The sequence below is a fragment of the Homo sapiens genome, chromosome 4 (assembly GCF_000001405.40).
Source record: "Homo sapiens chromosome 4, GRCh38.p14 Primary Assembly".
Taxonomy (NCBI): domain Eukaryota; kingdom Metazoa; phylum Chordata; class Mammalia; order Primates; family Hominidae; genus Homo; species Homo sapiens.
In genome coordinates this window covers 105,600,033-105,615,690 of record NC_000004.12, presented here as the reverse complement: position 1 = coordinate 105,615,690, position 15,658 = coordinate 105,600,033, and the positions used below count along the sequence as shown (strand labels likewise).

At 36.0% G+C, this 15,658-nt stretch overlaps 1 protein-coding gene across 9 annotated transcripts in view; it reads right to left on the bottom strand.

Moving 5' to 3' along the window:
- Positions 1-15,658, bottom strand: part of ARHGEF38 (Rho guanine nucleotide exchange factor 38) — a 129,947-nt gene that overhangs the window by 66,876 nt on the left and 47,413 nt on the right. For all 9 annotated transcript variants that reach the window (XR_938749.4, XR_007057934.1, XR_938750.4 and 6 more), the window contains one exon: positions 2,184-2,307. Coding sequence is in view for 4 of the 9 variants with exons in the window: in NM_001242729.2 (NP_001229658.1) it covers positions 2,184-2,307 (124 nt within the window). In the remaining 5 variants the exon portion in view is untranslated. The remainder of the gene's footprint in view (positions 1-2,183; positions 2,308-15,658) is intronic.

Sequence of the window (15,658 nt, the reverse complement as noted above, 5' to 3'; positions counted from 1 at the left end):
GTATGATGTAAAGGTCTTATAAAACCTCTTCTGATGCAACTAATAATAATAATAATTTTTAAAAAGGAAAAGTCCATGACAAATGCTAAAGTGGACTGAATGCTTACGTAATACACTAAAATCAGTATGCTCTAGACAAACCACAATACATGGTCACCTTAAATCTGGAATTGTTTTTGACTTCAGCACATGAATCAACAACTTGTTTATGCTTTCTTCTACATTTCTCTTGAAATGACCCCATTTTTAAAAATTTTCACTGTATCTCCCTTAGTCTCAATGCTTATTACCACATGCCTATATTACTTATAACAACCTATTTACTAGTCTAGGACTCAGTTCCTCCTCTGCATGCTGTTCAGACCTACCATATCTTTCTCTCTCCAGAAACTTTTGTGTCTCATCACACCCTTGCCAGAAATCTTTTAATGGCTCTTTATTACTTGTACAGTAAATTCCAAACTTCATTTCCAAATGCTGCCAGTCCCTACTCTGCACTTTCAGGTTCATTTCTCATTTCTTGCTTACATCTGTCCTTCACTCCAGCTTGATCACTCTTCATTTCCTAAACACACTTGGCATTTGGCATTTGTTTCACACTTGTTTTTCATGCTGTCATTTCCATTTGGAATCTTCTCCTCAACATGGACCCTATTGTTGAAATAGAATCTATACTTTAAGCCCAAATAACATCTTCAAGAATCCTTGGAGTTTCCATCTAGAAATGTTTTCTTTATCCTCCAAGGTTTGCAGTAGTGTAGAAACTGCTTTGATGGTGTATTATACCCACACCTTCAATTCAAGAAGCTGTTTGATTGAATGTTTTTGAAAGAGAGAAATGAGCCCTTTCACCTTTTGATACCAAGCAATGTGGTACAGTACCAAATCTTGTGAATATGCTGCTACTTCATAACTATTCATTGATTGAATTAATAAATGAATAGCCAATGAATTCACACTAATGAGTTAGTGTGGTAATGAGTAGAGTTCTTCTTTTAGGAAATATTTTTACAATTTGTTGGGGACATTTCATCACAAAGAACAATTGAATTTAAACCTATCTGTGGAAGAAATCTTTCTGAGTGGGCTGGCCTTATTACCCAGTCATTTCTTTCACTATATTTCATGTCTTTGATCAGCTTTCCTCATTAAACTTTGGTTCTCTATAAATATTAAACAAGACCAGTTCCATGACATTTTTATAACTCTAACAAATAAAAGGTAACAAAGACATAATCAGTAAAGACATAAAGTGTTTGTGTGTAGTCTTTGTGTGTGTATCTCAAAGTAAAGATCTACATCAAACAAGCGGTTACTTGTGGGGAAGGCAGTGGCATTGGAGGGATATATGAAAGGAAATTTTACCGTTACTCTACGTGCTCCTGAATTGTTTTAGTACTTTTGTAATGAGGAGTTATTGTATATTAAGTGTGAAATAGAGAAACGATAATTTTAAAAAACTCTTAGCCTACATGACACTGTATGATGTCTCGAAGTGCAAACTGCCTTTAAGGAATTCATAGCACATATTCCCTTGGAAATTCCCAAGAAATGGAGAGCATAAAAATTTGGCTCAATACTTTTCAAATTATATTTTCTGTTGTTATTTTTGAGAATCCTACCATAGTAAGAAAATAAATATATCTGATTGACAGTAAAAACATATTTGGAAGGTAAATAATACAGAAAAAAAGAGAGCATGAAAAAAAGTAGAACTTGTGTAAATTTTTAATAACTTACATTCCTTTAATAGTTTTACATTCCTCAGGTAAGAAGTTTATAATCTAAAAAAATTGATTGATGGGCATAAGATCTAAAAAACATTGTAATGAGAAATCAGTAAAGCTATTAGAATATTTAAATAATTAATTCTTTAAGGATCAAGTAAGTGTTAGCCATTAAAAAAAATTACAGAACATCTGGAAAGCAAAGAGATTGAAAGATTGGAAATTAAAAAGCAAATGGTATGTTTTGTGCTACTGAGGGACTTCAGCAAATGGATATAAACCCATTTGAAAATAAACACAGAGTCTGCATAATCACAATGAGCCCAAAGATGGGTTTAGCATTTATATATCTCCTGGGAAGCATGGTGAGTCAGGAACAAAAAACCAAAGCAAAGGGAGGTTATTAAAAAATTATTTCCTGTTGTATTGTAGAACTCGAGAAGAGAATAAACATACCAATTACTTGCATGGCCGGTTCCACGTCTGTTGTGGCCTCTTCCAACAATGACAGCAGCTTGGCTGATATCTGATGCACGGACTCAATGTTGCTAAACAAGCTATCCACATCCAGCCTATCAGTCTGAAGAAACAAAAAACATTGAGCTGATGGAGAAGCACTGTATTTAGGATGTTTTCTCCTCCTAAACAGTAAGCATTTTAAATGCCAGCGCATGCTGTCTCCATTAACCATTTCTGTTAACATTCTTATTTAGGAATTCTAGAGTGCAGTTTTTTTTTCCAAGAAATTGGGATGATGCATCTGTTACTTCTGTCTTTTTAAAAAAATTTTGAATATGTTTTGTATCAAACATACATCTATATATTCCTATAAGAACCAGAATGGGAAGATTTGGGCCTAATTGGTATTAACTGCCCTCTATGAGGATATGTACTAGTGTGTAAGGATTTAGAATAGTTTACTGCTTATACAGCAGAAGTCAGACCTTACCCGAGGCAAGTAACGATTTTCAAAGCTGTTTTTTAAACCACAGATGTTTGAAAAGTGATGATAAGTAGATGTGCTGGGTTGCTTTTTCCTTTTTTTTTCTTGATATAAATGTAAATGGAAATCATTAAATATATTCTACTAATTAAGGATTCATTATATTTTGTTATTTCATGCACACCCTTAACAACCAGTGTAATTATTCTTAGATCTTATAGCAAGTGTTTATAATAATTTATTTATTCATTTATCCATCCTTTCATCAAATAATTTCTGAGAAGCTTCTATGTACCAAGAATTACGAAAGAATCCAGACTGTGTTATAGGTAGTGATTGGTTAGTAGAGGGATGGACAACTATCCTCAGCTGTCTGAATATGGTGAGATATGTGCTCTGATTTTGATGAATCTTGTTCAAAATAATTCCCTTTAGTTTAAGTTGGATCTCCTTTCATAATCATATAGTGACTGGTCAGGCCACAGCCGTATTGGTGCAGGCTCTACTGGGCTACATCAGGGAACAGGAGTAGGTGCCTTTTACTCATGACTTACTGTGAATGAGGTCATAGGTGGATAATTAATTCATCAATAATCAATTCATGGAGGAGTAGCACAAGTGAAAATCAGAGTTGCTGGCTTAAAACCAGCTCAGCAAAGTTAGGGAAATGAAAGAGACAGAGAATCCAATTAAAGAAAATGTGCCGAGAAATTAGGGGAATTGGGAACAAGGGATATAAAAGGGAGACATGGAGGAATTCTGCAGACAAAGGCCAACAACTACAGCTTTTTTCCATTATTTCAGACTCAGTTTCTTCAGGTGTGTGTGGGGTCTATTCAAGGGGTAAGGAAGAAAGCAACCTGCTCATCTTTTGATCCCATTCCTTTTTGACATTGTCCCATCCACTGTTCTCCATATTGGATACCAATATTATTTTGGTAAGGATATTCTGTCATTGAATGTGGAAGCATGACTTCACATGGCACCTTTTCAAAATGTGGTGACTATGTCAGTTATTTTTTATGCAATATGGTCTTGCTGTATACAAGTCTTTCAACCATCTTGGGAAATTTTTCACTTTCCCATCATTCATCCTGTCCTCAAGATAACCCACAGCCTCATTTGTAATCAAATTCATATGATTATATGCAGTGGTTTATTTCAATATAGGATTAGACAACTTTTAAAAAACTAGTTTTATGTATTCTGAAATTGTCTATAATTCCATACTAATTATTACATTGTAACCACTATTAGTTCTTAAGGTCTTTAATCCAGTGTCACAAAATATTCCTTAACTGATCATTCACTTTAATAGGAGATGGCACATGTGGTTTTTTGCTTGTAATCTAGAGAGGTTCAAGATTTTCAATTTCTATATTAGAAAGTATATTTAATATCACAGAAAATATTTAAAAGGCATATAACAGTTACATGGATTTTTGTTATTATTTAATAATTTATTATTAAGTAGTTAACATGAAGTTGTCATTTAATAATACTTCATTATTATCAATGGCTCAAATGTAATATATCTCTGAGTACCACTGATTTAGCACATTACTTATCCTAAAGAATTGCCTTATGTGTTGGGTATTAATTAAATCCACAAAGGTATAATAACTCTGAATAATGCAAGATGTTTTCCAAAAGTTGTGTATGAATCAAAGTTTTATAAATTGGTTTAGTTCAAATTTACTGATTGTATATTTCTTAAAATCATTTTTGAAATAAATCCTTCTAATATATAAAATTTCAGCCCCTAATTTACTTGCTTTATAAGATAAACTATCAGCAGTAAATCATACAGTGTATCCCTGTTATTATTTCATTTTGCTCTGGAAACTTTATTCTGAGAAACTTGAAGTGTTTCATGTTTATTATTTCATACATGACTCCAACTTCTTTGTAAAGGATGAACCATCTTGAAGATACAGAAAATAATGCAGGGTGAAGAAAGGAGCCATGCTCAAACTTATGCAAGAAGTTCAGGGGAGAACTGGATTCAGAAATTGGCCTTTTTGTTCTATGCCTTCGTTCTTTACCAGGAAATATTAATAATAGAGTACTTTACTATCTCTGTTTAGATTTTTTGGTTTGTTCCTGAGTTTTTCACCAATTTGTCACTCCTACAATTTATTTCCCGAGGTCAGTTTCCTGTATATCTGTTTAATTTAGATTATGAATCCATTTGGCAAGGATCTAATTCTACATTTTATCTGTAATCTTAGCTTAGTGCCACAAATACTAAATAACAAAAACATAGATTTTAATTCCACTTCTTCCTGAAGGACAGAAAGGATTAAAACATCAATTGGCCTGATTTCAAACGCCCATATCACTATGAGCCCATGGGGATTCTGTGAATCATAAAATGAATTCATATCCAATCATTGCTATGCCAAGGAACAAACAAATGTCTGGTACACGTAGACTTTTAAAACTGATAGATGATTTTATGATTACTGATATAAATTCAAGGAAGCATGTATTTATATTTATTAATCATTCACTGGAAACAGGTAATGTTCTAAAAGCTTAAGTTGAATTACATTTTAAATGGATTAAAATTCATTTTTTTAAAAAAAGACAGTCTGAGTACACACTATTCTAAGTCAAGTCAATATATAATAATTCAGACTTACAAAACATAAAAATTAAAGGCTAATGTTTCTTTTTTAAAATTTTCTTCTGAAAAAAATGGGATACATGTGCATAACATGCAGGTTTGTCACATAGGTATACATGTGCCATGGTGGTTTGCTGCACCTATTAACCCATCCTCTAAGTTCCCTCCTCTCCCAACCCACCCCCTAATCAGCCCTAGTGTGTGTTGTTCCCCTCTCTGTGTCCATGAGTTCTCATTGTTCAGCTCCCACTTACGAGTGAGAACATGCCGTATTTGGTTTTCTGTTTCTTTGTTAGTTTGCAGAGGATGATAGCTTCCAGCTTTATCTATGTCTCTGCAAAGGACATGATCCAATTCCTTTTTATGGCTGCATAGTATTCCGTGGTGTATATGTACCACATTTTCTTTATCCGGTCTATCATGGATGGGCATTTGGGTTGATTCTATGTCTTTGCTATTGTAAACAGTGCTGCAGTAAACATACGTGTGCATGTGTCTTTATAGTAGAATGATTAATATTCCTTTGGGTATACACCCAGTAATTGGATTGCTGGGTCAAATGGTATTTCTGGTTCTAGATTAAAGGCCAGTGTTTCAACTGGCAATTTAATTTATTGCTTTACAAAAGTACTTATCGCAAGATATACTTCAAATAGCCAGTTCCCATTACATTTAAATAATTACTAGGTTTTAAAATCAGGTAATGTGATGCCTCCAGCGTTGTTCATTTTGCTCAAGGTTGCTTTGGCGCTTCAGGGTCTTGTGTGGTTGCATATAAATTTTAAGGTTGTCTTTCTATTTCTATGAAACACGTCATTGAAATTTTAATAGGAATTGCATTTAGTCTATAGATTGCTTTAGGTAGAATGGATATTTTAACAGTATTAATTCTTCCAATCCATTAACACCAGATATCTTTCCATTTATCCATGTCTTCTTCAAATTCTTTTATCAATGTTAAGTAGTTTTCAGTGACTTCAAAATCTACTACAAAGCTATAGCAATCAAAACAGCATGGTACCAGCATAATAACAGATACATACACCAATGCAACAGAATAGAGAGCCCAGAAATAAATCCACACTTTTACAGTTGATTGATTTTCAGCAAAGATGTCAAGAACACACAATGGGAAAGGACAGTCTTTTCAATGCATGGTTCTAGAAAAACTGGCTATCCACATGCAGAAAAATGAAACTAGACCCTTACCTCACACTAAATCAACTCAAAATGAAGACTTAAACGTAAGACCTGAAATTGTAAAGTTACCAGAAGAAAACACAGGCGAAAAGCTCCATGACATTGGTCTGTGCAATTATGTTTTGGATATGACCCCAAATCACAGGAAACAAAACCAAAAATAGACAAATGGTATTCCATCAAACTTAAAAGCTTCTGCACAGCAAAGAAAACAATAATCAGAGTTGAGAGACAACTTGTGAAACAAGAGAATACATTTGCAAACCACACATCTGATAAGGGGTGTTAATATGCAAAATATATAAGGAGCTCTACTCAGTAAGAAAACAAATAATCCCATTAAAACATGGGCAAAACTAATGGATACTAGGCTTAATACCTGAGAGATGAAATAATGTGTACAACAAACCCCCATGACACACGTTTACCTACATAACAAACCTGCACATCCTGCACATGTACCCATGAACTTAAAATAAAAGTTAAAAAAAAAGAAAGAAGATACAGGGTGACTATAGTTAACAATAATTTATTGTTATGTTTCAAAATAGCTAGAAGAAAAGATTTGGAATGTCCCAACACAAACAAAATTATAAATGTTCTGAAACCATCCTTGAAAATAAATTTTAAAAAGAAATGATAAATGTTTGAGGGGATGAATATCCCAATTACTAAGATTTGATCATTGCACATTGTATATTTGTATCAAAATATTACATGTACCCTGCATATATGTACAAGTTTTATATATTTATAAAAATTAAAAATAAGTAAATAAAAATAAATTAAATTACAAAAATGGGCAAAGGATCTAAATAGACATTTCTCAAAAGAAGACATAAAAGTGGTCAATAGGTATTTAATGCTCAATATCACTATCATCAGACAAATGCAAATTAAAATCAAATGAGATATGACCACATACTTGTTAGAATGACTACTGTTAAAAAGATGAAGGAAAACAAGTATTGGTGAGGATGTGGAGAATAGTGAACTCTTGCACACTGTTGGTAGGAATGTAAATTAGTACAGCCATTATGGAAAATAGTATGGAGGTTACTCAACAAATTAAAAAGGTTACAGCTAAAAGATGGCTGTCTAGAAAGCGGGCCCTCATCAGACACTGAATCTGCTGGCATCTTGATCTGGGACTTCCCAGCTTCCAGAACTGTGAGAAATAAGTTTCTGTTGCCTACGTTACCCAGTTTATGGCATTTTTTTTTAAATAGAAGCCTAACTGGACAAAAATAGTATGTAAGTTTCTATCTTTGGCAGTCATCTTTGTGGAGAACTTGTCTGTGAAAAAGTCACAAAGAGGAAAGCTAAGCCTGGTGGCAAAGTCTTGTTAACTCTTGGATCCAGCCTTGCCTAAACAAGAAATCCTTATTCCATAAGCCGACAAACTGTCTTTTTTATTTAAGCTAGTTTGAACTTGATTTCTGTTATCTATGACCCAAAGAAGATTAATACACTTTTAATTGTAGCCAAAATGTTACTTTCTCTAGGAAACATTTCCTGTTCCTTAGTTAGAATTAACCTCTCTTTCTCCCTCACTTCCATGACTCTTGCTTTGTATTACTCCCTGCTTATATGGAAGCCCATTCTATTCTATTTATCAGAAATATTTACTAATTTATCTGTCTCTATGACAAAACTGTGAATTCCTCTAAGAATTGCCTTTATGAGTACTCTACTGTGTCTAACACGGTTCTGGGGATGTGCAGAGTTACTCAGTAAAAGTTTAAAAATTTGAACTGAATTGAATCTGTACAATGCACATGATCTATTTACTCTTGTAGGAGTCAAAAATGAATATTCTTTGTAATCAATTCACTAGGCTCTGAATAATAAGCATGCAAAGATCAAAAGTGGTTTAAAGGGAAAAAATTACCAATCTAGTTGTTCAAAACAATTACATGGATATTTTATAATTTTATCCTTAATTTTATCTGCAAAGGCACACTGGGGTGCTTAGTTTGGCCATTGGTATAACTGGCTAATTTGCTGACAGAAGCCAATCTTCCTCTAGTTTACACCTGCGACATGCCTGTTTATAGGCTTCTGTTTAATGAGCACTGGATGAATCGGCCTGAACCCCATCACAGGGAGGAAAAACCAAACTTTCTTAGGTGTCCTGCAGACCCCCAACCACTAACATCTCTAAAAGTAACACTGTAAAGAAGTCTAGGAACAAACATTGTTTGAAAAAATAAATTAGGCTATTATTATAAAAGTAGTTCATGTCACTGTAGAAAATTAAGGATGAGTAGACAAAAGAAAGTAAAAGAAAGAAAATACAGTCACCTGTAATTCTACCACACAGAAATAGCCACTAATAATGTTTTCAGATATGTTTTTCTAGATTATTTTTCTCTGTGTGTCTGTGTGTACATCCATACAAAAAATTATATACTTCAAATAGTTTAAATTTTTTTTGCCTTAACAACATAACATGAACATCTGTTCATGTCAGTAATTTTCCTCAATTGCACCATTTTTAACATTTTGTGGAAATACTGTAATGTACTTAACCATTCATAAATTTTTGAAATCTAGATAGATCACGCTTTTCATTATTATAATCAGCTCTTAGCTAAAGTCTTATTCACACTCATGATTATCACTGAGCTAAAGTTATTAATTTTTTAAAGGATTTTAAAAAGTATTAACAAATAAACATTGCTTTTTTCTTCTGACAACCAATGGATTTAAAATTGTCAATTGGATATTGCTGTTCTGACCTCAATTTGGAACTATATTTTTGGGCTCTTAATTTGATGGTCAAAATCACACAACTTAAAAATTCCATATATATGTGCATGACATATATATTTAATACAACAATTGTAGAAGAAGGGAGAAAATAAACAGCACTGCTTTCAAGGGTCACGGTGATTGCCACCAACCAAATCATCCTCTGGAAATTGTTTCTAGAAAAGTCTTCAGTGTTTGGATTTGGTGTAGTTTTGCAGTAAATCCAGGTTCAAATAGGGCCCCAATTCTGGGCTCTGAACTTATGTAGTAATTACATTAGAATTAATATAGGGCAAATTCTCCTTGGCCATCATCTGATTTGGTCTAATAGAACCTTGGTGCCCTCTACTCCTTCTGTAGGACAGTTCCACACACAACATTTTGGTGAGGCCTGGATGCATCCTCTAAATTAGATTGATCCATTATTAATGCTGAAGCCATCAAAACCCAATGATATTGAGACTGCAGTAAGGTGGAAGTGGAAGAAAGCTGCCATGGGTTACCAAACATTTGAGAAGTGGAGACTCACTGGGGACATTCTGAGAGGATAAAGTAGGTTTTGTTTTATTTTTTAGTAAGGAAGTTGAGAAGAGGACTGCTTGTGAGATAGAAATTGCAGCAAGTGGAAAAAAAGGATGTTGGCAGAAAGCCCCAGCAACCACTGGGCTAGGATAATTAACTCATTACTATGGCATTTACTGAGACAGTTGGCTTCTAGATTACAAAGCGTTTCAGGGTAAACTAGCCATTATTTCATCAGGCTTCTCAAAAGTGCTGATTTGTATGTGTGAAATTTCCTGCTGTGAAACTGGATTTGAAACTGGCTAATTGAGTCAAACTATGAGTTGAATCAATATCACAGCTATACAGCAAGTCTTTTAACTAATCTTGCAGATAAATGCTTAAGTTACCTGATAACTGCCAGAAAACATTCCAGGCCAGAAGATACTAATGTGGACAGACCTACATTAGCCACAGAGATGTTAGTCCCTTTGCAGAAAGGGGAGTGGGAGTTCTGGAACAGAAATCTCAGCATGTGTGTGAGGAAGGACAGAGGCAACAGTCAAAGCCAGAGAAAGAGGCTGGGTTCAAACTCGAGAAGTCCCTGAGTTAAGAAGTCCAACAGCCCTGGAACTTAAAATCAAAATTAAAATTAAAAAAAAGTCCAACAGAAAATTTGTTTTGACTAGTAATAGAAAAGCAAAGTTATTATATTGGTATCCTTGAGTAAAAGGTAAATAGTTGACTAAAGGTCTCTGCCTTTGTTTCTCTTCTCTGCCTTGACACAGGGACAGGCAGAAAAGAAGTTACTCAGCAGAGGTTTGGGGTGGTCTTGCCTTCCTTTTCCTACTTTGAATTTTATATGAAATGTTCCAAAGACAAACAGTCCTGCTAAAAAATAGGTCTTTTGAGCTGGAGGGCTAGTATATTTTGTAATCTTTTCAGAAATTGTTTAGAAAGCATAGACTAAACACTATGATTTATATTGTTGAAATATAGAGAAAGTAATTTGGAAACTTTTTGGAACAATCAGTGAGATTATAGGAAAAATTTATAATTTTTTAATGTATCCATGTCAGCCAAAAAATTATATTTAAAGGCTTGTGGCTGGGCATGATGAATGGGGTAAACATTTTTTGCTTTGATCACTTGAGTACTCACTGTGTGAGGGTGTGTGTGAATGTGTGTACATGTGTGTTTATTTCTTCTTCCTGTACATACTCAAACTGAGAGCTTATAGCAATACTCATAACTTTTTCAACAAGCATCCATATCCTTTAGGCCCAATATCTGAAAGAAATTACTGATATCAGGGATGACTTAGCATTAACACCCATTTTTTTCCAGACTTAATGACACAATTACAAAGTTCTAATCTTCAATAATACAATAAAAACTAGAACTCACTGAAAATAATTTGAAAAATGAGGAAATGCTTTTGCAAAAGAAAGGAAAAGAAAAATTTCCTAGAGATGATAAATGAAAGGAAAAAAGAAGGCTGAAACAGAAGGCTCAAAAAGATGTGGTGGGCAGATGTGTGACAGTAGACTTGAGTAGTAACACAGGAATTACGGACGAAACTGGTACAACATAGAACAAATATCCATGAAGTCCATCTGTGTTGTAAATTCTGGTGTTTCCAGGATTTAATCACTTGACCACTGTAATTCCCACATTTTTTCCCTTGGGGAATGTCACTTGATCATGACATCTAAGTTAAGCATTACTGTTTAAATTTCCAATGGTTTCCCTTCCCCACACACATGAAGTCAGTTCTTCTGGCATGGGGCTCTTCGTGGCCTTGCCTTTGCACCTCTTTTCTGCTTTGCCTCCTGCCGCATGGCACTCCAGGAGCTGTTTGATTTCATGGCCCATACTATGCTAGTCCATATCATGTTTTCTTCCCCAGGATGTCTCCATGGAATCCCATGAAGATAGTAAACATACCAAAAAGGTTAAAAAACAAACACCTCCTGCCTGAATTTCAGTTGAGGCATCAATTTCTTAGCTATCAGATACCAAAGTGAGCGGGAGATGGTTTGCCATATGCAGAACTTGCAAAGGAAAGTTCAGTGAACTGTTTCAAAGTCACCTCTGTTGAGCTCATACCTGAGAAACCTAAAGGAGCTGTGGCAGTAGGAAAGTGATGGCTATGTTGGGATGAATCTGTACTCCCACAGTTCTTGGGGGTCAGGGATGCTTGAATGCTTCCTATGGACCAGCTGCAGACACTGTGAGGTGTGGAAGCTAGTATAAACATATCTATGACTCTGCCTGCAAGGCTGAATGGCAGAATATGAAGGTACACTCTGGATGCCTCGGGGCTCAGGAAAGAGTTGCAAATCACCAACTGGGACAGATGCAATTGGATCTAGTGGCTTTCAAGAGAGAATCTCCCCAACACCACCATCATGGGAATAGCCTGAAAAAGGCCAGGAAAGTACCTGTAAGAGTGCCACATTATTATATCTAGAAAATCCAAAGAATGTAAAGCTAGTCTATGATGGTACCAGTTCAAGTACACCTTCCCCCTCCCTTACCTCTCCTCACCCATCCTCCCGAGGGTCAGGAGCTGGCTGGTGAGCAGGTGTCAAGGAGGAGCCACATTCCAGCTGTGTGACTTTGGATAAGTTACTTAACCTCTTTGTTCCTTGGTTTCCTCATTAGTCAACTAGGAACACTTAAACCTGCTTCATAAGTTGCTGGGAGGATTATATTAACTAATATAAACAAGTTGTTTAGAATAATGCTTGGCTCCTAATAAGTACTCAATATATTGTAGCTATTATTGTTGTTTTTAGGAAAACTGTGGAATGAATTTTGACCAAACTGCTAGCTGCTAAAGGCAGTTCCCAAACTAGACAAGTGCTTCAGATGTTCATTGATCTGTAAAATGATGGGACTGCCAGAGTCCTTATCTGGAGACAGGGCGGGATCTTTGCACTACTAGGTAGACTGATGCTCCCCACAGCATTAAGCTGCAGTATGAATCCCAAGAACCACAGACAATAAGGATAAGGAAGGGAGCAGGAGTGAGTGCTGATTTTAGGAAGCAGAGCCAGTTCTGGGAACATTTTTAAATTGCTAAAAATTTCTCACTTGTCTCTTTTTTTTGAACAACTACCTTTGTCAAAAATCCAAGGTGCCCAAATCAATGTTAGGTCACCTGAGTTCCAGAAGATTCTCAAAACTCAGCCGAGTTTGGATTTTGCTGGGTATGCCCAGGATGATGGAAACAAGCGTGAGCCCTGGAGTGGGGACTGGTCTTTGGGTGCATCATCTATTAGCTGTACCACTAAATTCCAGACTCTAGACCTTAGGGTCAATGCAGGCTCTCCCCTCTGTCATCCCTAACCCTGATCTTGATAGCTTAACCACACTATCTCCAACATTCAATTAGCCTTTTCTTAGTCACTTTGTAAAACTCTATCAGGCCCCAGTTTCTGCCTCTGAAAAAGCTTCTACACTCATTTTTATTTCCTATTTCCCCAAATCAGCTTACTAATAACTTCAGATTAGTCTTCCTAAAACGTGTTTAATTGGGTTTAAAACACAGTTTAAATTCCTCTGTTTTAAAACATTTGTTTCTTCCCAGTTGCCTACAGAAAAGATCTCAAATTCCTCAGTCTGACAGTTTGCCTGGACAAGACCTATCTCGTCTTACTCCAGTTATTTTTATTTTTATAAGGACCATCTGCTACTATCAAAAGGAATTAACTCATTTTTAAACTTACCCTATGTTAGCTCACCTACTCTTGCTCCTGTGGTTCTCCACTGCTGGGCTGCTCTCCTGACCCTGCCTCCACCTAACCAATGTTTACTCAGTGCAAATCCCATCCCTTCTCTAAGACTTCCTGGATCACTTACCCATCCTGAAGTTGTTCATCCACTCATTTCTTTTTCAATCCATAAGTATTTATTGCTGCTCATGTATAAAGCACTGTATTAGGTGCTGGGGATATAGCAGTGAACAAATGAGACAAAATTCATGATTCATAAAGGAAAAAAGTAAACAAGATAAGTAAGGAAAATATATTGTATTAAATATAGGGTTAAATGTTATAGGGATAAAACAAAAACAGCAAAAGGAAGATACGGAATTTTGGGGAGGCTGCAGCACTGGCAATGCCTTACTTATATCTCCTTGATTCTGAATATTCTTGGACATGTGAAGGGCCTTCTGGTGTAAGCATCTCTGATTTTCTACCTAAAGGCTTTCTCTGACCGCTGATGCCTGCTCTGCCTACACACAGGCAAGGTTAGAAGTGCCAGGAATTAACACCCCCAGGAGCATCCCTTAGCCAATGTCTAACAGGAATTGAGGAGGGTAAATACTCCTCCCATAGGACAATGTGTTCTGTACAGCCTCCCCAAGCTCCCAGTGGGAAATGAGCCCTATTTGGCCACAGAGTTAACCCACTCATTAATGTACCCTATATTGTCTTCTTTCTCTGTCTCATTTCCCTGTTCCCTTACTGCTATTTCAGGGTATCATCTCCCAAATCAATACCATCTAAAATCCTTTTATCAGGCTCTGCTTCTGAGGAATCCAGTCTAAGATAGATTGAGGTGGTGAAGGAAGGATTTACTGAGTAAAGTCTTGACGGACATGAAGTAGCAAGCTATGAAGTTATTTTGGGGAAGAGCATTCAAGGCAAAGAAAACAGCAAGAACAAAGAGCTTGAAACAGCAGTGCTCCTGGTTTGTTCAAGAAAGAGTGAAGAGGTCAGAAGGTAAAAATAGATGACATCAGTGAGAATGAGGGCCAGCCCCTGTAGGACCTTGTAGGTCATCATGAGTATATTAGGTTTTAATCAGAGTGAGAGGGGAAGTCATTGGAGGGTTTTGAGTAGAAGAGTGACATAATTTGACTGATATTTTAAAAGGATCACTCTGGCTGCTTGGTTGAAACAGGGTAGAGGAAGAAAGATGGGTCACAAGACAGTTGTAAAAATCCAGGAGGTTATTGATAGGTTCTTGAACCAGAGTGGAAGTAAGAAAGGAGATGAGACATGGTCTAATTCTGGATAAATTTTGAAGGCAGAACTAAAGAATTTGCTGATCGATCTGATATGGGAATTAAGAGAAAGAAAAAGTTAAGGATGACTCCAGGGATTTTTGCCTGAGCAACTGGAAGGTAGAGCTGCCATTTTCTGAGATGAGATAGAATACAAGGGAGAAAGTTTTAAAGAGGAAATTAGGAACTCAGTTTTGAACATGTTAAATTGGAGATGGCTTGTAGACAATTAAGTAGAGATTTGAGTGGGGAATTGGAGAAACAAAGGAGGACTTCAGGGAAAATGTCTAGGCTGGAGATAAAAATTTGCCAATCACCAGCATGTAGATGGGATTTAAAGCCATGAACTACATCAGATTTGCAACAGAGCTAATGTGGACAAAAGAGAGAAGAGGACCACAGGCGGAGCCCTCAATTACTTTAGTGTTTATAGATGAGGATTAACCAGCATAGGAGACTGAAAAGCAGCAGCCAGAGTGGTAGGGGGAGAACAAAGAGTGTGTAGAGTCCTGGAAGACAGAAGGCACTGTTTTTGTCAAATGCTGCCAACAGGTCAGGGAAGTGAGTGCCTCCTTTTGCTAATGTCTAAAGCAATTAATTGTTTGCATAACTAATGAGCACAACTAATCATGACTGCCTTCTGTCATGATCACTTCTAGCGTTGCCTTGAAATAGATCTTTGATTGTTATTTGTGTTTTATATGTTTATGAGTCATTTTCTTGGCCACATTATAGACTTTACTAGGGCAAGACTGTGACATAAATTTTCTTGATACCCACGCAGAGCTCAGGAGCAGGCACTGCATGCAATAGGCACTTGACAAACATTTAATCTTTTAATTTGCATATTCAACTAAAATATCACATTCTTCATGAAATATAGCTCA